Below are 16,016 nucleotides of genomic sequence, written 5' to 3' on the forward strand. Positions count from 1 at the left end.
AGCCAGGCGTGGTGGCACGCACCTGAAGTCCCAGCTACTCAGGAGGCTAAGGCAGGAGAATGGCTTGAACCTGGGAGGTGGAGGTTGTAGTGAGCCAAGATCGCCCTACTGCACTCCAGCCTGGGCAACAGAGTGAGACTCTGTCTCAAAAAAAAAAAAAACAAAAAAAGAAAGAAAAAGAAAAACCGGATGTAAAACAGTTTATTCTTTAAGTGCAGGGGTGTGTAACGCAATCCTTGCTTGGCATGACCTTAGATCCTGTTTATAATTTGGTATCTTATTGCCACAAACAGTCCATTCTGTCTGTCTTATGATCACTGTTTCAACATTAAGGCTGGTCAGCTGTTGTGTCTAAACTTCTAAGGAAGAGGGTATAAGGAGGCATGTCTGACCTCTCATCTCATTATGGCTGGGAACTCAGTGTTTAAGGTTTCTTGAAGGTCCCCTTGGCCAAGAGGGGGCCCATTCAGTCAGTTGGCGGGGCTTAGGATTTTTAGTTTACATTCTGCTCACTGGAGTAGCACTTTTAATTTCCTTCAGGAAATTTTCCTTTGAATTCACAACTTGACTAAATGTTTGGTGCAAGAAGTCTTGCTTTCAGCCTATCCTGACTTTTGACACACCTTCCTCACTGAGCTTAATCATTTCTAGCTTTTGATTTAAAGTGAGAGATGTGCGACTCTTCCTATCCCTCGAACATTTAGAGGCGTGGACTGAAATTCAATATTGTTGTGTCTTACAGGCTAGGGAGACCTGAGAAGAGTGAGAGAGAGGGGGGAACAGCCAGTCAGTGGAGCACTTGGAACATACACAATACCGATTAAGTTGGCTGGTTTACCTGAATGCTGTTTGTGGCACCCCAAAACAATTACAATAGTAACATTAAGGATCACTGATCACAGATCACCTTAATAGGTGTAATAATAATGAAAAACTTTGGGACCAGGCACGGTGGCTCACGCCTGTAATCCCAGCACTTTGGGAGGCCAGGGCAAGCATATCTCCTGAGGTCAGGAGTTCGAAACCAGCCTGGCCAACACAGTGGAACCCCATCTCTACTAAAAACGCTAAAATTAGCCAGGCATGGTGGCGCGTGCCTGTAATTCCAGCTATTTGGGTGGCTGAGGCACGAAAATCGCTTGAACCCCAGGAGGTGGAGGTTGCAGTGAGCCAAGATTGCGCCACTGCACTCCAGCCTGCATGACAGAGTGAGGCATTATTGCAAAAAAGAAAAGAAAAAAAAAAGTTTGAAATATTACAAGAATTACCAGGATGTGGTACAGAGACACGAAGTGAGCACATGCTGTTGAAAATGGTGCCAATAGACTTGCTGTAGTCAGGTAGCCACAAACCTTGAACTTGTAAAAATGCAGTATCTTCGAAGCACAATAAAGTGAAGTGCAATAAAACAAGATATGCCGGGCGGGGCACGGTGGCTCACACCTGTAATCCCAGAACTTTGGGAGGCCAAGGTGGGTGGATCACAAGGTCAGGAGTTCAAGAGCAGCCTGGCCAATATGGTGAAACCCTGTCTCTACTAAAAATACAAAAATTAACTGGGCGTGGTGGCGGGAGCCTGTAGTCCCAGCTACTCGGGAGGCTGAGACAGGAGAATCACTTGAACCCGGGAGGCGGAGCTTGCAGTGAGCTGAGATCACGCCACTGCACTCCAGCCTGGGCCACAGAGCGAGCCTCCATCTCAAAAACAAACAACAACAACAAAAAAACAAGATATACCTATATACCTCAATTTTAAGGAAACAAAAATTCTCAATTTTAATTTCTAACAGAGTACAGTTAGATATAAACAAAATCCCTCAATCCTTTTTAAGCGTACAAAGAGATCCGGAGAACAAAAACTTTGAGAACTACTGATCTAATGCATTGATTTCTTTTGTTTTGTTTCTGTAGTTGGGGCTACAGGTATGCGACACCACCCCCAGCATGAATGCAATTACTCAGTCTGGAGTCGGAGAAAGCGATTGAAAGGGAGGGAAAAATCTTGCTGGCTCTAATGCTTTATAAACTGTGCTGTCCAATACGGTAGCTGCTGGCCACTTGGGGCTATTGAGCACATGAAAAGTGGGTACTCCAAACTGAGAGGTACTTAGTACCAAAAAACAAAAAAATAATGGGCCGGGCGCGGTGGCTCACACCTGTAATCCCAACACTTTGGGAGCCCGAGGCGGATGGATCACGAGGTCAGGAGTTCAAGCAGCCTGACCAACATGGTGAAACCCCGTCTCTACTAAAAATACAAAAAAATTAGCCGGGCGTGGTGGTGTGCACCTGTAATCCCAGCTACTCAGGAGGCTGAGGCAGGATAATCGCTTGAACCTGAGAGGCGAGATCGTGCCATTGCACTGCAGCCTGGGCGGCAGAGCAAGACTCCATCTCAAAAAAAAAAGAATGTAAATTATCTCATCAATAATTTTCACATAGAAATGACATATTTTGTTTTTCTTTTCTTTGTTTTTCGGTAGCCATGGGTTCTTGCTATGTTGCCCAGGTGGCCTTGGACTCTGGGCCTGAAGCCATCCTCTCACCTGGCCTCCCAAAGTGCTGGGATTATAGGCATAAGCCACTGCACCTGCCCCAATATTTTGAACATATTGGGTCAAGGAAAAAATATGGTTAAAATTAATTTTACCTCTTGCTTTTTTTTTTTTTTTTTTTTTTTTTGATGCTGAATCTCTCTCTGTTGCCCAGGCTGGAGTGCAGTGGTGTGATCTCAGCTCACTGCAGCCTCCGCCTCCCAGGTTCTAGCGATTCTCCCGCCTCAGCCTCCCGAGTAGCTGGGATTACAGGCACGCGCCACCACACCTGGCTGATTTTTGTATTTTTTAGTAGAGACGGGGTTTCACCATATTGGCCATGCTGGTCTCGAACTCCTGACCTCAAGCAATCCGTGCCCCCCACCCCCACCCCCCGGCCTCCCAAAGTGCTGGGATTACAAGTATGAGCCATCGCACCTGACCTCTTTTTTTTTTTTTTTGAGATGGAGTCTGGTTCTGTCACCCAGGCTGGAATGCAGTGGCATGATCTTGGCTCAGTGCAACCTCCACCACCACGGTTCAAGCAATTCTCCTGCCTCAGCCTCCTGAGTAGCTGGAATTACAGGAGCCTGCCACCACGCCCGGCTAATTTTTGTATTTTTAGTAGAGATGGGGTTTCACCATGTTGGCCAAGCTGGTCTCGAACTCTTGACCTCAGGTGATCCACCAGCCTCGTTCTCCCAAAGTGCTGGGATTACAGGCGTGAGCCACGGCGTCTGGCCTACCTCCTGCTTTTCACTTTAATGTGGCTACTGGAAAATGTAAAATTACCTATGTGGCTCCTGTATATTTCTGTTGGAGAGTGCCATTCTGGAGACAGACAGACCGAACTGCCAATCTCTGTTTCACCACTTACAAGCTGCGTCAAAAAACTTACTATTTCTTCAAATTTCCTGGGTTCCCTGGGATGTAAAATGTGGGTAATGTTAGAGTTGGTGTGAATATTAAATGTAAATAATGAATGTAACATACTTAGCTCTATACCTGGCACCCAAGTAAACAATAAGTTTGTTGGCTATTAAAGACGTTGATTTCTCTACTGATATCGTCAGAGATGGGCCTCATGCTCATTAAAGTTCCTTCCTCTGCGACCTATTTCCACTCTGGCCACAATAATAACTAATTATAGCAGAGGCCTGACCCGACTTTCGGCTGTTGGCCTCCCTTCCCCACATCGAAAAATTCAAATCATGACCCAGGGTCCATCCTAGAAGTGTGCCATCTGTATTTATGAATGGAGCCTAAGCAAATCTGAAAACCAAGCAGCCCCAGGCAACTGAGCCCAGCGTAGCAACCGACGCCGGGGCCTGTTGCTAAGGGAAAAGAAAGAAAGGACGTGGTCCGTCAGCTATTGCTCTCCGGGGGCAGCTACTTCCGGTCCCCCTGGGAGCTGTCCTGCGGTCTACGTTCCCCCGAGGTGCTGGGACTGCGGCCGCAGGTTCCGCTGTCTCGGGAACCGTCGTATCCCTCGGTCCGGCGGCGGCGGCGGCGGTAGCGGAGGAGACGGTTTCAGGCCTCCGGTGCGGCTGCAATGCTGAGCTCCCGGGCCGAGGCGGCGATGACCGCGGCCGACAGGGCCATCCAGCGCTTCCTGCGGACCGGGGCGGCCGTCAGGTGAGATTTTGGGGGGCGGGGCTGCCGAAGAGGCCGGGACCAGGGTCCCCAGCTTGGGCCCGTGACGGCTTTTTCATGCCCTAGTTGGGGTCTCCAGGGCCCGCGCGGGCATTCTGGAAGGTTCTGCGTCCTTTAGGGTTGGAGGCCTGGGCCCGTAGGTGGGAGGACTGACGGGCTCCAGTCCTTCGGCAACACCAATTCTGTCTGCACTCCCCAGGTCTGTCAGTCCCTCCCCCTCCTGTCATTGTTCCCAGGACACCCGGGGCACTCCAGTCTTGTCAAGGCCCCTAATTCTGTCAGTGCCCTCAGTCCTTTCAGTGCCTCCTAGGCCTGCCAAGACCCCTCAATCCTTCTAGTATACCCCCAGTCCTTCTGGGTCCCCCAATCATATCAGTTTCTGGACTGCCAGGGTTCCCCAACCTTGGCACGGTTCTTCTAGTCCTATAAGTGCCCCGGGCCTGCGAGCCCCGCGTTTTGTTAGTACCGCCCCCTATTCCTGTTAGCCCGCCCTCTAGTCTAATATGGATCGCCACTTCTGTCTGGGTCCCTGATGTTGTTAGTGTGAGTAAAGGCCCTTGTTTTGCAAGGGTCTCTAAATTGGTCAGGGCCCCTTTAACCTGTTAAGGTTGCTTGGTCCTGTTAAAGCCCTCCGTTCTTGTTAGGACTCCTCGATTGCCTGGGTCCCCAATCCTGTCAGGGCCCCCATTTCCCTCTTATTCACCCTCCCAAGGGCTCCAGGCTTCAGAACTGAGTACCCCCTCCCCCACTGCTGACCCCAAATGACTGAGACCTGTTGCTCAGGTCGGCTTCCTCTGGAACTGGAGCAGGTTTAAAGAGCTTATTATCCCAGGGCTGAAAGTCCTCGATACTTATCCTGTCCAGTGCCCCCATTCCGTAGATAGGAAGTGTGGCCCCATAGCTGACCTCATAGCAGAGTTGGGAGGAGAAGCCAGATCTTTTCATCCGCAGGCCCCACCACTCTCCTCGTGATGTCATTTTGCAGAGGAATGGAGTTTCCAAAGTCGCCACTTGTCCCTGGGTATTTTTTCCTTATGCTGCCAAAGTCATGGACAAGTCCTCTCTCCCATCCCCTTGACACTCTTCCCTTCAGTTTCCATCTTGAACTTCGTGGTTTTAAGCACAGACCTGGGGAGACAGACAGGCATGATTCAGAGCCATGTTCCTTCACTCACTGTGACCAAGTTGGGCTCTTAGTTTCTTCTGCTATAAAAATGAAAGTGATAGTAGAACCTGCATCTGTGGGGTTGTTTTAAAAATGAGGTAAGATTGTCACAGGGCCTGGCAGAGAGTATGTACCCTTAAATATTAGTGTTTGATTAGGGGATTTTAAAGCACTGGTAAAGCACCTTAGCACTTCCATGACAGTCCTTTATAATCTTTCCAGGCACTTTTGTGAACTCACGTATCGTGTAAAAGCACAGTGATGTATTAAGAAACTTCAAGAATACCTTTCACCAGCTGGGCATGGTGGCTCACACCTGTAATCCCAGCTCTTTGGAAGGCTGAGGCAGGTGGATTTCTTGAGCTCAGGAGTTCGAGACCAGCCTGGGCAATGTAGTGAGACCCTGTCTCTACAAAAAAATTTAAAAATTACCTGGGCATGTGGTGTGCAGCTGTGGTCCCAGCTACTTGGGAGGCTGAGGCAGGAGGATCACCTGAGCCCGGAAGGTGAAGATTGTGTTGAGCTGAGATGGCACCACTGCACTCCAGCCTGGGCACTAGAGCAACTAGAGCAAGACACTGTCTCAAAAAAAAATAAAAATAAAAATAAGAAAAAAAGAAAGAATAGCTTTCATGAATGATCCTGAGATTGTAATGCTTAATTTGTAGCAGCTAACATTTATTAAGTTCTTACTATGTACTGTATGCATTCACACTTATTTAATCCTCACAACAGCCCTATGAGGTAGGTCTTATGGATTGTCCCCATTGTACAGATGAGGAAACTGAGGCTTAGAAGGTGAAGTGATGCCAAATGAAATAGCAAAGCCAGGATTGAACCAGAATAAGGTAATCCCACTTTCTTAACCAAGTTTGGTGCATATTCTGTTGACTCTGTCTTGGAAAACAAATATTTATCTGAAATTCAGCTATCAGCTATGATACTAAGAAATGCTGATTATTATAAAACAGGGTCAATATTACCACCAGTGACTCTTCACCAAGTTAATGTTTACTGAACTGAAATCAAAACAATATTCACATGATCCAAATACTGGGATAATAATGTATTACACACACACACACACAAACACGTATGTATGCATGTGTAACATATATGCAGATACACATTACATAGCTATATACACATAGATGGTTTGTCTTATTTTGTAGAAATATATAACTTTGTATAAAAACAATGTTTTAAATTGTTGGGGAAATTTCTTAATATGTAGCAAAAGCATAACCAGCGTTCAAGTCAAGCCTGAAGTTAGGAAATCTTTAATTTTATAAATATTCAGCTCTTTTATACCATTGTATGTGTGCCCCTTCCCTGTCTAATATTCTAAAAGAGAAATTCATTTCTGTATATTTTCTCCAGTATTCAGTCATTCAATAAATATTTTATATATATATACACACACACATATATATACATATATATATATATATATATATTTTTTTTTTTTTTTTTTTTGAGGCAGAGTCTCGCTCAGTCACCCAGGCTGGAGTGCAGTGGCGCAATCTGGGCTCACTGTAACCTCCGCCTCTTGGACTCAAGCCATTCTGCCTCGGCCTCCAGAGTAGCTGGGATTACAGGCACCTGCCACCACACCCAGCTAATTTTTGTATTTTTAGTAGAGACAGGGTTTCACCGTGTTGGCCAGGCTGGTCTCCCACTGACCTCAGGTGATCCGCCCACCTCGGCCTCCCAAAGTGCTGGGATTACAGGCATGAGCCATCACACCTGGCCTCAATAAATATTATTGAGAACCTACTATGTGCTAAGTATGATCTAGACACTTGAGCTCATTAGTGGGTAAAACAAAGCACATGCCAGTTGAGGGAGACAGACAACAAACCCAGTGCATTAAAAAAAAAAAAAAGAAAAGAAAAAAAACATAGCGAATAGGTTAATTTTATGTTAGAAGGTGGTTAAGTTCTATGGTAAAAAGAAAAAGTAGAAACATGTCAAGGGGACAAGGACAGGTCCCACTGATATGTTCAGGTAGGCCTCTTGAGAAGCGAAGGGAGGTAAAGGAGTGAGCCAAGCAGTGATCTGGGGGAAGAGCATTCTGAGCAGAGGGAACAGCAGTGCAAACGCCTTGAGGTCAGAGCATTGGCTGGTAACGTTCCATGTGGAAGTGGAGTGAGAGGCAGAAAAGGAAAATAACTTCAGTTTTTCCTCAGAGTGAGAAGTAGCCTTTGGAATGTGATGATTTGACTTAGTTTTTGTTGTTGTTGTTGTTGTTGTTGTTGTTTTTTATGAGACTGAGTCTTTCTCTGTCACCTGGGCTGGAGTGCAATGGCACGATCTCAGCTCTGTGCAAACTCTGCCTCCCAGATTCAAGTGATTCTCCTGCCTCAGCCTCCCGAGTAGCTGGGATTACAGGTGCACATCACCACGGCCAGCTAATTTTTGTGTTTTTAGTAGAGACAGGGTTTCCACATGTTGCCCAGGCTGATCTCAAACTCTGGGGTTCAAAGGATCCTCCTGCCTTGACTTCCCAAAGTGCTGGGATTACAGGGATGAGCCACCGTGCCCAGCTGACTTAGATTTTAAATCCTAATGTCTAAACATCCTGATTTTCAAGATGTAATCCTATGACTATATGTTACTTTAACTTGCAATTAGGTATTTGGTGGGTTATTTTGACAAAATGTTATTCTGTCTATATCTGTATATTTGCCTTTTGTGTTTGTGTGAGGGAAGACAGTAAACTTGTTTTCTTTTTTAGATATAAAGTCATGAAGAACTGGGGAGTTATAGGTGGAATTGCTGCTGCTCTTGCAGCAGGAATATATGTTATTTGGGGTCCCATTACAGAAAGAAAGAAGCGTAGAAAAGGTAAGAATGAGAACACTGCATCATGGTCTGTAGACTTGACCCAGATCCCTGTTATCTGAAAACAGTACAAAGAAGGTGGGGAGGTTGGTCATATTTGTTCTCTGTATCTTTAAAATTAGGATTTCAGGTTTTCAAACAGTACTTTTACCGTTAGTCATTATTTTATACCATGTAGTAAAAAGATTTCTATTTCAGCCCCTCTCCAGACTGGAGTTGGAGGCATGCTTTGTAATGAAAAATGTCAAGCGGCATAATTGTCTAAGAAGTGTTCTCATTAGTACGGCAATTGTAGTTTTCAGTGGTACAGACTGACCAATTACATCATACATTTGTGTTCTCTCAGACTAGCTTGCTAGTAACTGGTAAAAATTTCAAGTTAGTGCCTTCATTACTAAAAAATTATTTTCTTTTTTTTTTTAATGCTCCCTTTTGAAAGTGTGGCTCTATGTAACATTGATTAAAATTCAGCAAAGAAAGAAAGAAGAATGTGGTGAAATTTGATCATTGTTAAATCTGGGGACAGTTATAATTGAGGTTTATTTTACATTCTCCCTCCTTTTTTTGTGTCTTTGAGAACTTTGATAATAAAAAGTTTTTTTAAAAGATTGCTAGCAGAAGAGAGAAGTATATTAGATTTCATTGATCTCTGCAGAAAGACTGATCAGAATTGGTATAGTGGTGTCTTTCCCAGTGATTGTTAAGATAAGAACAGAATCATTGTCCTGGGGAAGTAACAACAGAACAATTGTTTTCTTCTGTTCTGAGAAACATTGCTTTCTGATTAAAGAAGAAAGAGAGCATGTAGGGGAGAATGAGGAAGAGAAAAAGACAGGAGATGGTTACTAAGTGTTTTTGTACATTTAGGAAGAACCAAGCTGTGCTGGATACCATGATAGGTTTCAAAAATAACACACAAAGGGGACCTGTCCTTCTGTGCTTACAGTCTGCGGAGCAGTACTAGAACCAAGCCTTGGCACAGATAGAAGGCCTGGCCCCAGATCTCTGTGGATAAGGATCTTCTTGGATCGGGATTCCAAATTTAAGGCCACAGCGCAGGAACTCTGGGTCCCACATGGGAGAGAAATTGATCAAATGTGATATACTGTTCTCTTCTTCCCCCTGCTTTTTTTTTAGGGCTTGTGCCTGGCCTTGTTAATTTAGGGAACACCTGCTTCATGAACTCCCTGCTACAAGGCCTGTCTGCCTGTCCTGCTTTCATCAGGTGGCTGGAAGAGTTCACCTCCCAGTACTCCAGGGATCAGAAGGAGCCCCCCTCACACCAGTATTTATCCTTAACACTCTTGCACCTTCTGAAAGGTATCTAGATGGGAATTTCAAGGGAATTATGTACCTTTTCAAAGAAGTCCAGATGACAGAGACTCTTATAACAAAGAGTTAATACCTTATTGTAGGAAAAGATCATACAGATCATTATGAATAAACAACACCAAGAGCCCAATAGATACAAACAAGTATTTTTTAAAAATCAAAGATGGAGGCCGGGTGCAGTGGCTCATGCCTGTAATCCCAGTACTTTAGGAGGCCAAGGCAGGTGGATCACGAGGTCAGGAGTTCGAAACCAGCCTGACCAACATGGAGAAACTCCATCTCTACTAAAAACACAAAAAATATTATCTGGGCATGGTGGCACATGCCTGTAATCCCAGCTACTCAGGAGGCTGAGGCAGAAGAATCGCTTGAACCCGGGAGGCGGAGGTTGCGGTGAGCTGAGATCGCACCATTGCAGTCCAGCCTGAGCAACAAGAGCGAAACTCCGTCTCAAAAAAAAAAAAAAATCAAAGATGGAACCATTTATTTTTTAAATTGTCAAGTTAATAACAGCTTTTTAAGGAAGGAAAGAAATCCACTGCCACATAAACAGTTTCATCGTAAGAAGTATTCTGGTTTCAAAAACATTAAAGTAAAAAAAAAATGTCCGTTAGCCTAGAAAATAAGGTAATTCACAAAAGAAGTAATACAAATTGCTAACAAACTCAAATGTTCGACTCGACCATCATCAAAGAAGTATAAACAAAATAAAAATGCTGTTTTTTGCCTGTCAGCAAAGATTAAAAAACAAATTTGCAGCCCTGTCCAGCTGTTGGACAATACATCCATACACCGCTGAGAGGGGTGTAACTTAGTGCCACTTTTCTGGAAAGCAGTTTGGAACTACACAATAATAGCTTGCGAAATACTCAGTACTGTTTGACCCAGTAATTCCATGTCTGGGAGTCCGCCTTATGAAAATGGTTAGAAACGTAGATTGTGACTTAACTAGCCTGAAAAATGGAGTCTAAAAGCAAACAAGTTTAGGAATGGCTGAATGGTAGCCCCCAACTTGGAGAGTCACAATATACACTGGCTTGGTAAAGGTTTTAAGAAATAACCTACCCAACTTTTTTTTGTTTTTGTTTTTTGAGACAGAGTCTCACCTTTTTTTCCCAGCCTGGAGTGCAGTGGTACAATCTCAGCTCACTGCAACCTTCACCTCTCAGGTTCAAGTGATTCTTGTGCCTCAGCCTCCTGAGTAGCTGGGATGACAGGTCTGTGCCACCACACCCAGCTAATTTTTTGCATTTTTAGTTGAGACAGGGTCTTACTATGTTGGCCAGGCTAGTCTCAAACTCCTGGCCTCAAGTGGTATGCCTGCCTCAGCCTCCCAAAGTGCTGGAATTACAGGCATGAGCCACTACGCCTGGCCCCAACTTCATTTTTATTTTTATTTTATTTTATTTTTGAGACAGAGTCTTGTTCTGTTGCCCAGGCTGGAGTGCAGTAGCACGATCTCAGCTCACTGCAACCTCCGCCTCCCGGGTTCAAGCGATTCTTCTGCTTCAGCCTCCCTAGTATCTGGGATTACAGCTGCATGCCACCACGCCCGGCTAATGTTTGTATTTTTAGTAGAGACAGTGTTCGCCATGTTAGCCAGACATGTCTCGAACTCCTGACCTCAACTGATCTGCCTGCCTCAGCTCAAAGTGCTGGGATTACAGGCGTGAGCCACTGCACCTAGCCCAACTTCATTTTTAAACCAACTTTTTGACTGTAGAACTGTTTTTTTTCTTCATAAAATCTGCTGACATTCCATGGGTATTATACAGAGTGCAATGTATGCACAAAGATCTCCAACACCTAATTATAATGGCAAAAGGAAAGAATGTAGATATCAAACAGAATCATTAAGCAATCACCTGTGGCCATACTACCCTGAACTTACCTGATCTCATCAGACCTCGGAAGCTAAGCCGGGTAGTGGTTGGCTAGCACTTAGATGGGAAAATGATAAAGTAATCGATGGCATACAGCCATTAAGAATCACTTTTATGAAATTTTTTTTTAATTTGGGTGAGGGCATAGGCTGTAATATTAAATTTAAAGAGCAGCGTACAAAATATAATTTGACTTCATCAAGGTAGGAACTTCCACAGATAAAGACTGGACTGAAAAATGCTGAAATGTTAGCAGTGGCCATTTTGGTATTGTGCAGTCATTGGTAATTTTAAAATCATTTTTGGAAAAAAACTATACTTCAACTTTTAACAATAAGCATATATTGCTCTCACTGTAAGGAGAAAATTGGATTTAAAAAACATTCAGCTAAATCGTGCTTCACTGAGGTATTTTCCCATGTGAGCTCTGCTTGACACAGAAATCTTTATGAAGCAAGTGTACTTTTCTGTGGAAGAGGTGACTTGGGAATAATTTCTTTTACTATCCTGTTTTTTTAGCCCATTCCTGGTTTAGAAAAAAAAAATGTGCAACTCGCTGCCAGCGTTCATCTAATTTTACGTAAACATGCTCTTTGAGGCCGAAGCAAATCTGACTGATTTTAAATGCGAAAATAGAAAAACTGTTCTTGGAGTTCTTTCCTTTTTTTTTGAGATGAGTCTCGTCTTGTCACTCAGGCTGGAATGCAGTGGCGGGATCTCGGCTCACTGCAACCTCTGCCTCCCAGGTTCAAGCAATTCTCCTGCCTCAGCCTCCCGAGTAGCTGGGATTACAGGCATGCCCCACCACGCCTGGCTAGTTTTTGTATTTTTAGTAGAGACAGGGTTTCACCAGGCTGCTCTCGAACTCCTGACCTCAAGTGGTGCACCTGCCTTGGCCTCCCAAAGTGTTGGGATTACAGGCGTGAGCTACCATGCTTGGCCTTTTTAATTTTTTTAAAAAAATAGAGATGGGGTCTTGCTATGTTGACCAGGCTGGTCTCAAATTCCTGACCTCAAGTGATCCTCCCATCTTGGTCTCCCAAAGTGCTGGGATTACAGAGGTGAGCCACTGCACCCAGCCATGTTCATGGGAGTTATTTCTAAATAGAACTTGTCTCTAATCCTAATGTAACAGAAATGTATATGATGTTACATTAGGATTAAAGACAGGAGTATTCTTGGGGCAAATGGGAAATGGGTTAAAAACACCACTCCAAAGATTTTGTGAAAGCTGAAATGTCCACATGAGTTATCCTAACCCTGACCTCAGCACTGCCCTTATCCTTCACATGGGACCCAGTGCTGGGAGCCAGAGCCATCCTTGGGCTGCTGTCCCAGGATGTCTGCTCATTTCTCTGCTTCTGCTTTCCAATGTCTCTAACTTTGGTTTAAAAAAAAAAAAAAAAATTTTTTTTTTTTTTTAGACAGGGTTCTTCTGTCTGTCGCCCAGGCTGGAGTGCAGTGGCACAACCTCAGCTCACTGCAGCATCTGCCTCCCAGGCCCAAAACAATCCTCCATTTCCATTTCCCAGGTAGCTGGGACTACAGGCACATGCCACCAGGCCTGGCTAATTTTTTGTATTTTGAGTAGAGACAGGGTTTTGACTTGTTGCCCAGGCTGGTCTCGAACTCCTAAGCTCAAGCAATCTGCCTGCCTTGGCCTCCCAGAGTGCTGGGATTGCGGACATGAGCCACCATGCCTGGCCTATAAATAATTTTTTAATTATACAAGTAATGCATGAATCAGTTCTCTTTGTAAAAGATTAAAGCATTACAGAGAAGGCCAAAGTCCCCTTTATCAATACTCAACCCTGCTCCCCTCCACCTTTCCCAAAAGGAAGCTATAGGTGAATCCTTCCAGACCCTTTTCTGTGCATTTGAATACATTTCTATGCATCCATAGAAATTATATATTGTAGGTTTTTTTGTTTTCTGTTTTGTTTTTGTTTTGTTTTTTGGAGACAGGGTCTCACCCAAGCTGAAGTGCAGTGGTGCAGTCTCGGCTCACTGCACCTCAGCCTCCTGTGCTCAAGCTATCCTCCCACCCCAGCTTCCCAAGTAGCTGGGACTACAGGTGCGTGCTGCCACACCTGGCTAATTTTTGTATTTTTAGTAGAGATGGGGTTTCACACTGTTGCCTAGGCTGGTCTTGAACTCCTGGGCTCAGGTGATCCACCCGCCTCAGCCTCCCGTAGTGCTGGGATTACAGGCATGAACCACCACACCTGGCCTGTATATTGTTTTGTTCTGTTGGTGATTTACATGGCCAAATATAATACATTAGAGAAGCGTCCATTTTAGTACATGTAGCTCTACCTCCTTCACTTTTTTTTTTTTTTTTTTTTTTTTGAGACGGAGTCTCGCTCTGTCGCCCAGGCTGGAGTGCGGTGGCATGATCTCGGCTCACTGCAAGCTCCACCTCCTGGGTTCAAGCTAGTCTCCTGCCTCAGCCCCCCGAGTAGCTGGGATTATAGGCGCCATGCCTGGCTAATATTTTTGTATTTTTAGTAGAGACGGGGTTTCACCGTGTTAGCCAGGATGGTCTCAATCTCCTGACCTCGTGATCCGCCCGCCTTGGCCTCCCAAAGTGCTGGGATTACAGGCTTGAGCCACCGCGCCCAGCCTTTTTTTTCTTTTTTGAGTGTATTGGTCTTATAGTTTGTCTTCTGTGAATTGCTAGTTTATATCCTTTGCCTACTTTTTAAATTGTGGCAAAATATCCATAACATAAAATTTACCATTTTCAGCATATAGTTGAGTAGATTAAGTACAGCCACACTGTTGTGCAGCAGTCACGGCCATCCCTCTCTAGAACTCTTCATCATCCCGTACTGAAACTGTACCCATGAAACAGTAACTCCCACTCTCCCCTCCCCCTAGCCCTTGGTAACCACTGCCCTACTTTCTCTCTCTTTGAATTTGACTCAGACCTCATTAAGTCATGAGTTTCCTCATATTTATAAGATGTACCTCATTAAGCGGACTCATATAATATTCACCCTTTTGTAACTGGCTTATTTCACTTAATGTCTTCAGGGTTCATCCATGTTATACCATGTATCAGAATTTCATTCATTTTTAAGGCTGAATAATATTCTTTCTATTTTTTTTTTTAAGACAAAGTCTCATTCTGTCACCCAGGCTGGAGCGCAGTGGTGCGATCTTAGCTCACTGCCACTTCCGCCTTCCAGATTCAAGTGATTCTCCTGCCTCAGCCTTCCGAGTAGCTGGGATGACAGGCGTGCACCACCACACCTGGCTAATTTTTTGTATTTTTAGTAGAGACGGGGTTTTACCACATTGGCCAGGCTAATCTTGAACTCCTGACTTCAAGTGATCTGCCCACCTCAGCCTCCCAAAGTTCTGGGATTACAGGCGTGAGCCACCACGCCAGGCCTAGGCTGAATAATATTCTGTTGCATGTATATGCAGCATTTTGTTTGTCCCTCTGTCAGTCAGTGGACATTTGGCTTATTTTCATTCTTTGGCTATCATGAATAATGTTGCTGTGAACATTAGTGTCCAAATTCCCTGCTTTCAGTTATTTTCTGTAAACACTCAGAAGTAGAATTGCTGGATCAAATGGTAATTCTGTTTAATTTTTTGAGGAGCTGCTGTGCTGTTTTCCACAGATGGTGCACGATTTTATAATTCCACCAGCAATACATAAAAGTTCCAGTTTCTCCTCACCAACAGATATTATTTTCTGTTTTTATTGATAGTAGCCATCCTAATGGTATGGTAATTGCTTTAATTTGCATTTCCCTAATGATAAGTTATATTGAGCATCTTTTCATTTGCTTATTGGCCATTTTGTCTATCTTTTTGGGAGAAATGTCTGTTCAAGTCCTTTGCCCATTTTTGAATTGGGTTTCTTTTTTTTTTTTTTTTTTGAGAAGTCAGTCTGTTGCCAGGCTGGATTGCAGTGGCGCCATCTCAGCTCACTGCGACCTCCGCCTCCTGAGTTCTAAGCGATTCTCCTGCCTCAGCCTCCTGAGTAGCTGGGACTACAGGTGCATGCCACCACACCCAGCTAATTTTTGTATTTTTAGTAGAGACAGGGTTTCACCATGTTGGCCAGGATGGTCTCGATCTCTTGACCTTGTGATCTGCCTGTGTCAGGCCCCCAAAGTGCTGGGATTACAGGCATGAGCCACCACGCTCAGCATTGTTTGGTTTTTTGTTGTTGAGTTTTAGAAGTTCTGAGTTCATATATTCTGGGTATTAATCCCTTATCAGATGTGATTTGCAAACCTTGGTCACTTTTATTTTCTTCTTTGGGACAGAGTCTTGTTCTGTTGCCCAGACTGGAGTGCAGTGATGCAATCTCAGCTCACTGCAATCTCTGCCTCCAGGGTTCAAGTGATCCTCCTGCCACAGCTTCCCAAGTATTTAGGACAACAGGTGTGCACCCATCACCCCCGGCTAATTTTTGGGTGTTTGCTGTTGCTGTTTTTAATAGAGTTGATGGTTCACCATGTTGGCCAGGCTGGTCTTGAACTCCTGACCTGAAGTGATTAACCACCTCGGCCTCCCAGAGTGCTGGGATTACAGGCGTAGACCACTGCACCTGGCCTCATTCACTTTTACAGCTGCATAGTTTCC

At 44.5% G+C, this 16,016-nt stretch overlaps 1 protein-coding gene, 1 long non-coding RNA gene and 1 pseudogene across 15 annotated transcripts in view, besides 2 other annotated features; 2 read left to right on the plus strand and 1 right to left on the minus strand.

Moving 5' to 3' along the window:
• The window catches only part of USP30 (ubiquitin specific peptidase 30), a 64,935-nt gene that overhangs the window by 25,504 nt on the left and 23,415 nt on the right, over nt 1-16,016 (plus strand). For 4 of the 14 annotated variants that reach the window (XM_017020048.2, NM_032663.5, XM_017020049.2 and 1 more), the window contains exons 1-3: nt 3,984-4,169; nt 8,090-8,199; nt 9,334-9,516. In XM_017020048.2, coding sequence (XP_016875537.1) covers nt 4,087-4,169; nt 8,090-8,199; nt 9,334-9,516 — 376 coding nt within the window. In that variant the 5' untranslated portion in view covers nt 3,984-4,086. Of the gene's footprint in view, nt 1-3,983; nt 4,170-4,189; nt 5,451-5,913; nt 6,201-8,089; nt 8,200-9,333; nt 9,517-16,016 lie in introns of those variants that run through there. The other 10 variants (XM_017020053.2, XM_005253965.5, XM_047429734.1 and 7 more) reach the window with 7 other exon arrangements.
• Nucleotides 3,449-5,373, minus strand: USP30-AS1 (USP30 antisense RNA 1). Its single transcript, NR_038996.1, has 2 exons — nt 5,094-5,373; nt 3,449-4,146 (listed from the first exon to the last, which is right to left on the minus strand). It is a non-coding gene; the product is annotated as a USP30 antisense RNA 1 (long non-coding RNA).
• Nucleotides 4,178-4,677: an enhancer, noted in NCBI's record as "H3K27ac hESC enhancer chr12:109490575-109491074 (GRCh37/hg19 assembly coordinates)". NCBI's record gives its function as "activates a minimal SCP1, AML or CMV promoter by ChIP-STARR-seq in primed H9 embryonic stem cells {active_cell/tissue: H9 hESC(primed)}" and the evidence as "EXISTENCE:reporter gene assay evidence [ECO:0000049][PMID:30033119]".
• Nucleotides 5,011-5,380: an enhancer, noted in NCBI's record as "active region_6983". NCBI's record gives its function as "activates an Ori minimal core promoter by ATAC-STARR-seq in GM12878 lymphoblastoid cells {active_cell/tissue: GM12878}" and the evidence as "EXISTENCE:reporter gene assay evidence [ECO:0000049][PMID:35858748]".
• On the plus strand, nt 11,394-11,508 carry RNA5SP372 (RNA, 5S ribosomal pseudogene 372; annotated as a pseudogene).

This window comes from Homo sapiens, chromosome 12, assembly GCF_000001405.40.
Source record: "Homo sapiens chromosome 12, GRCh38.p14 Primary Assembly".
NCBI classification, from domain to species: domain Eukaryota; kingdom Metazoa; phylum Chordata; class Mammalia; order Primates; family Hominidae; genus Homo; species Homo sapiens.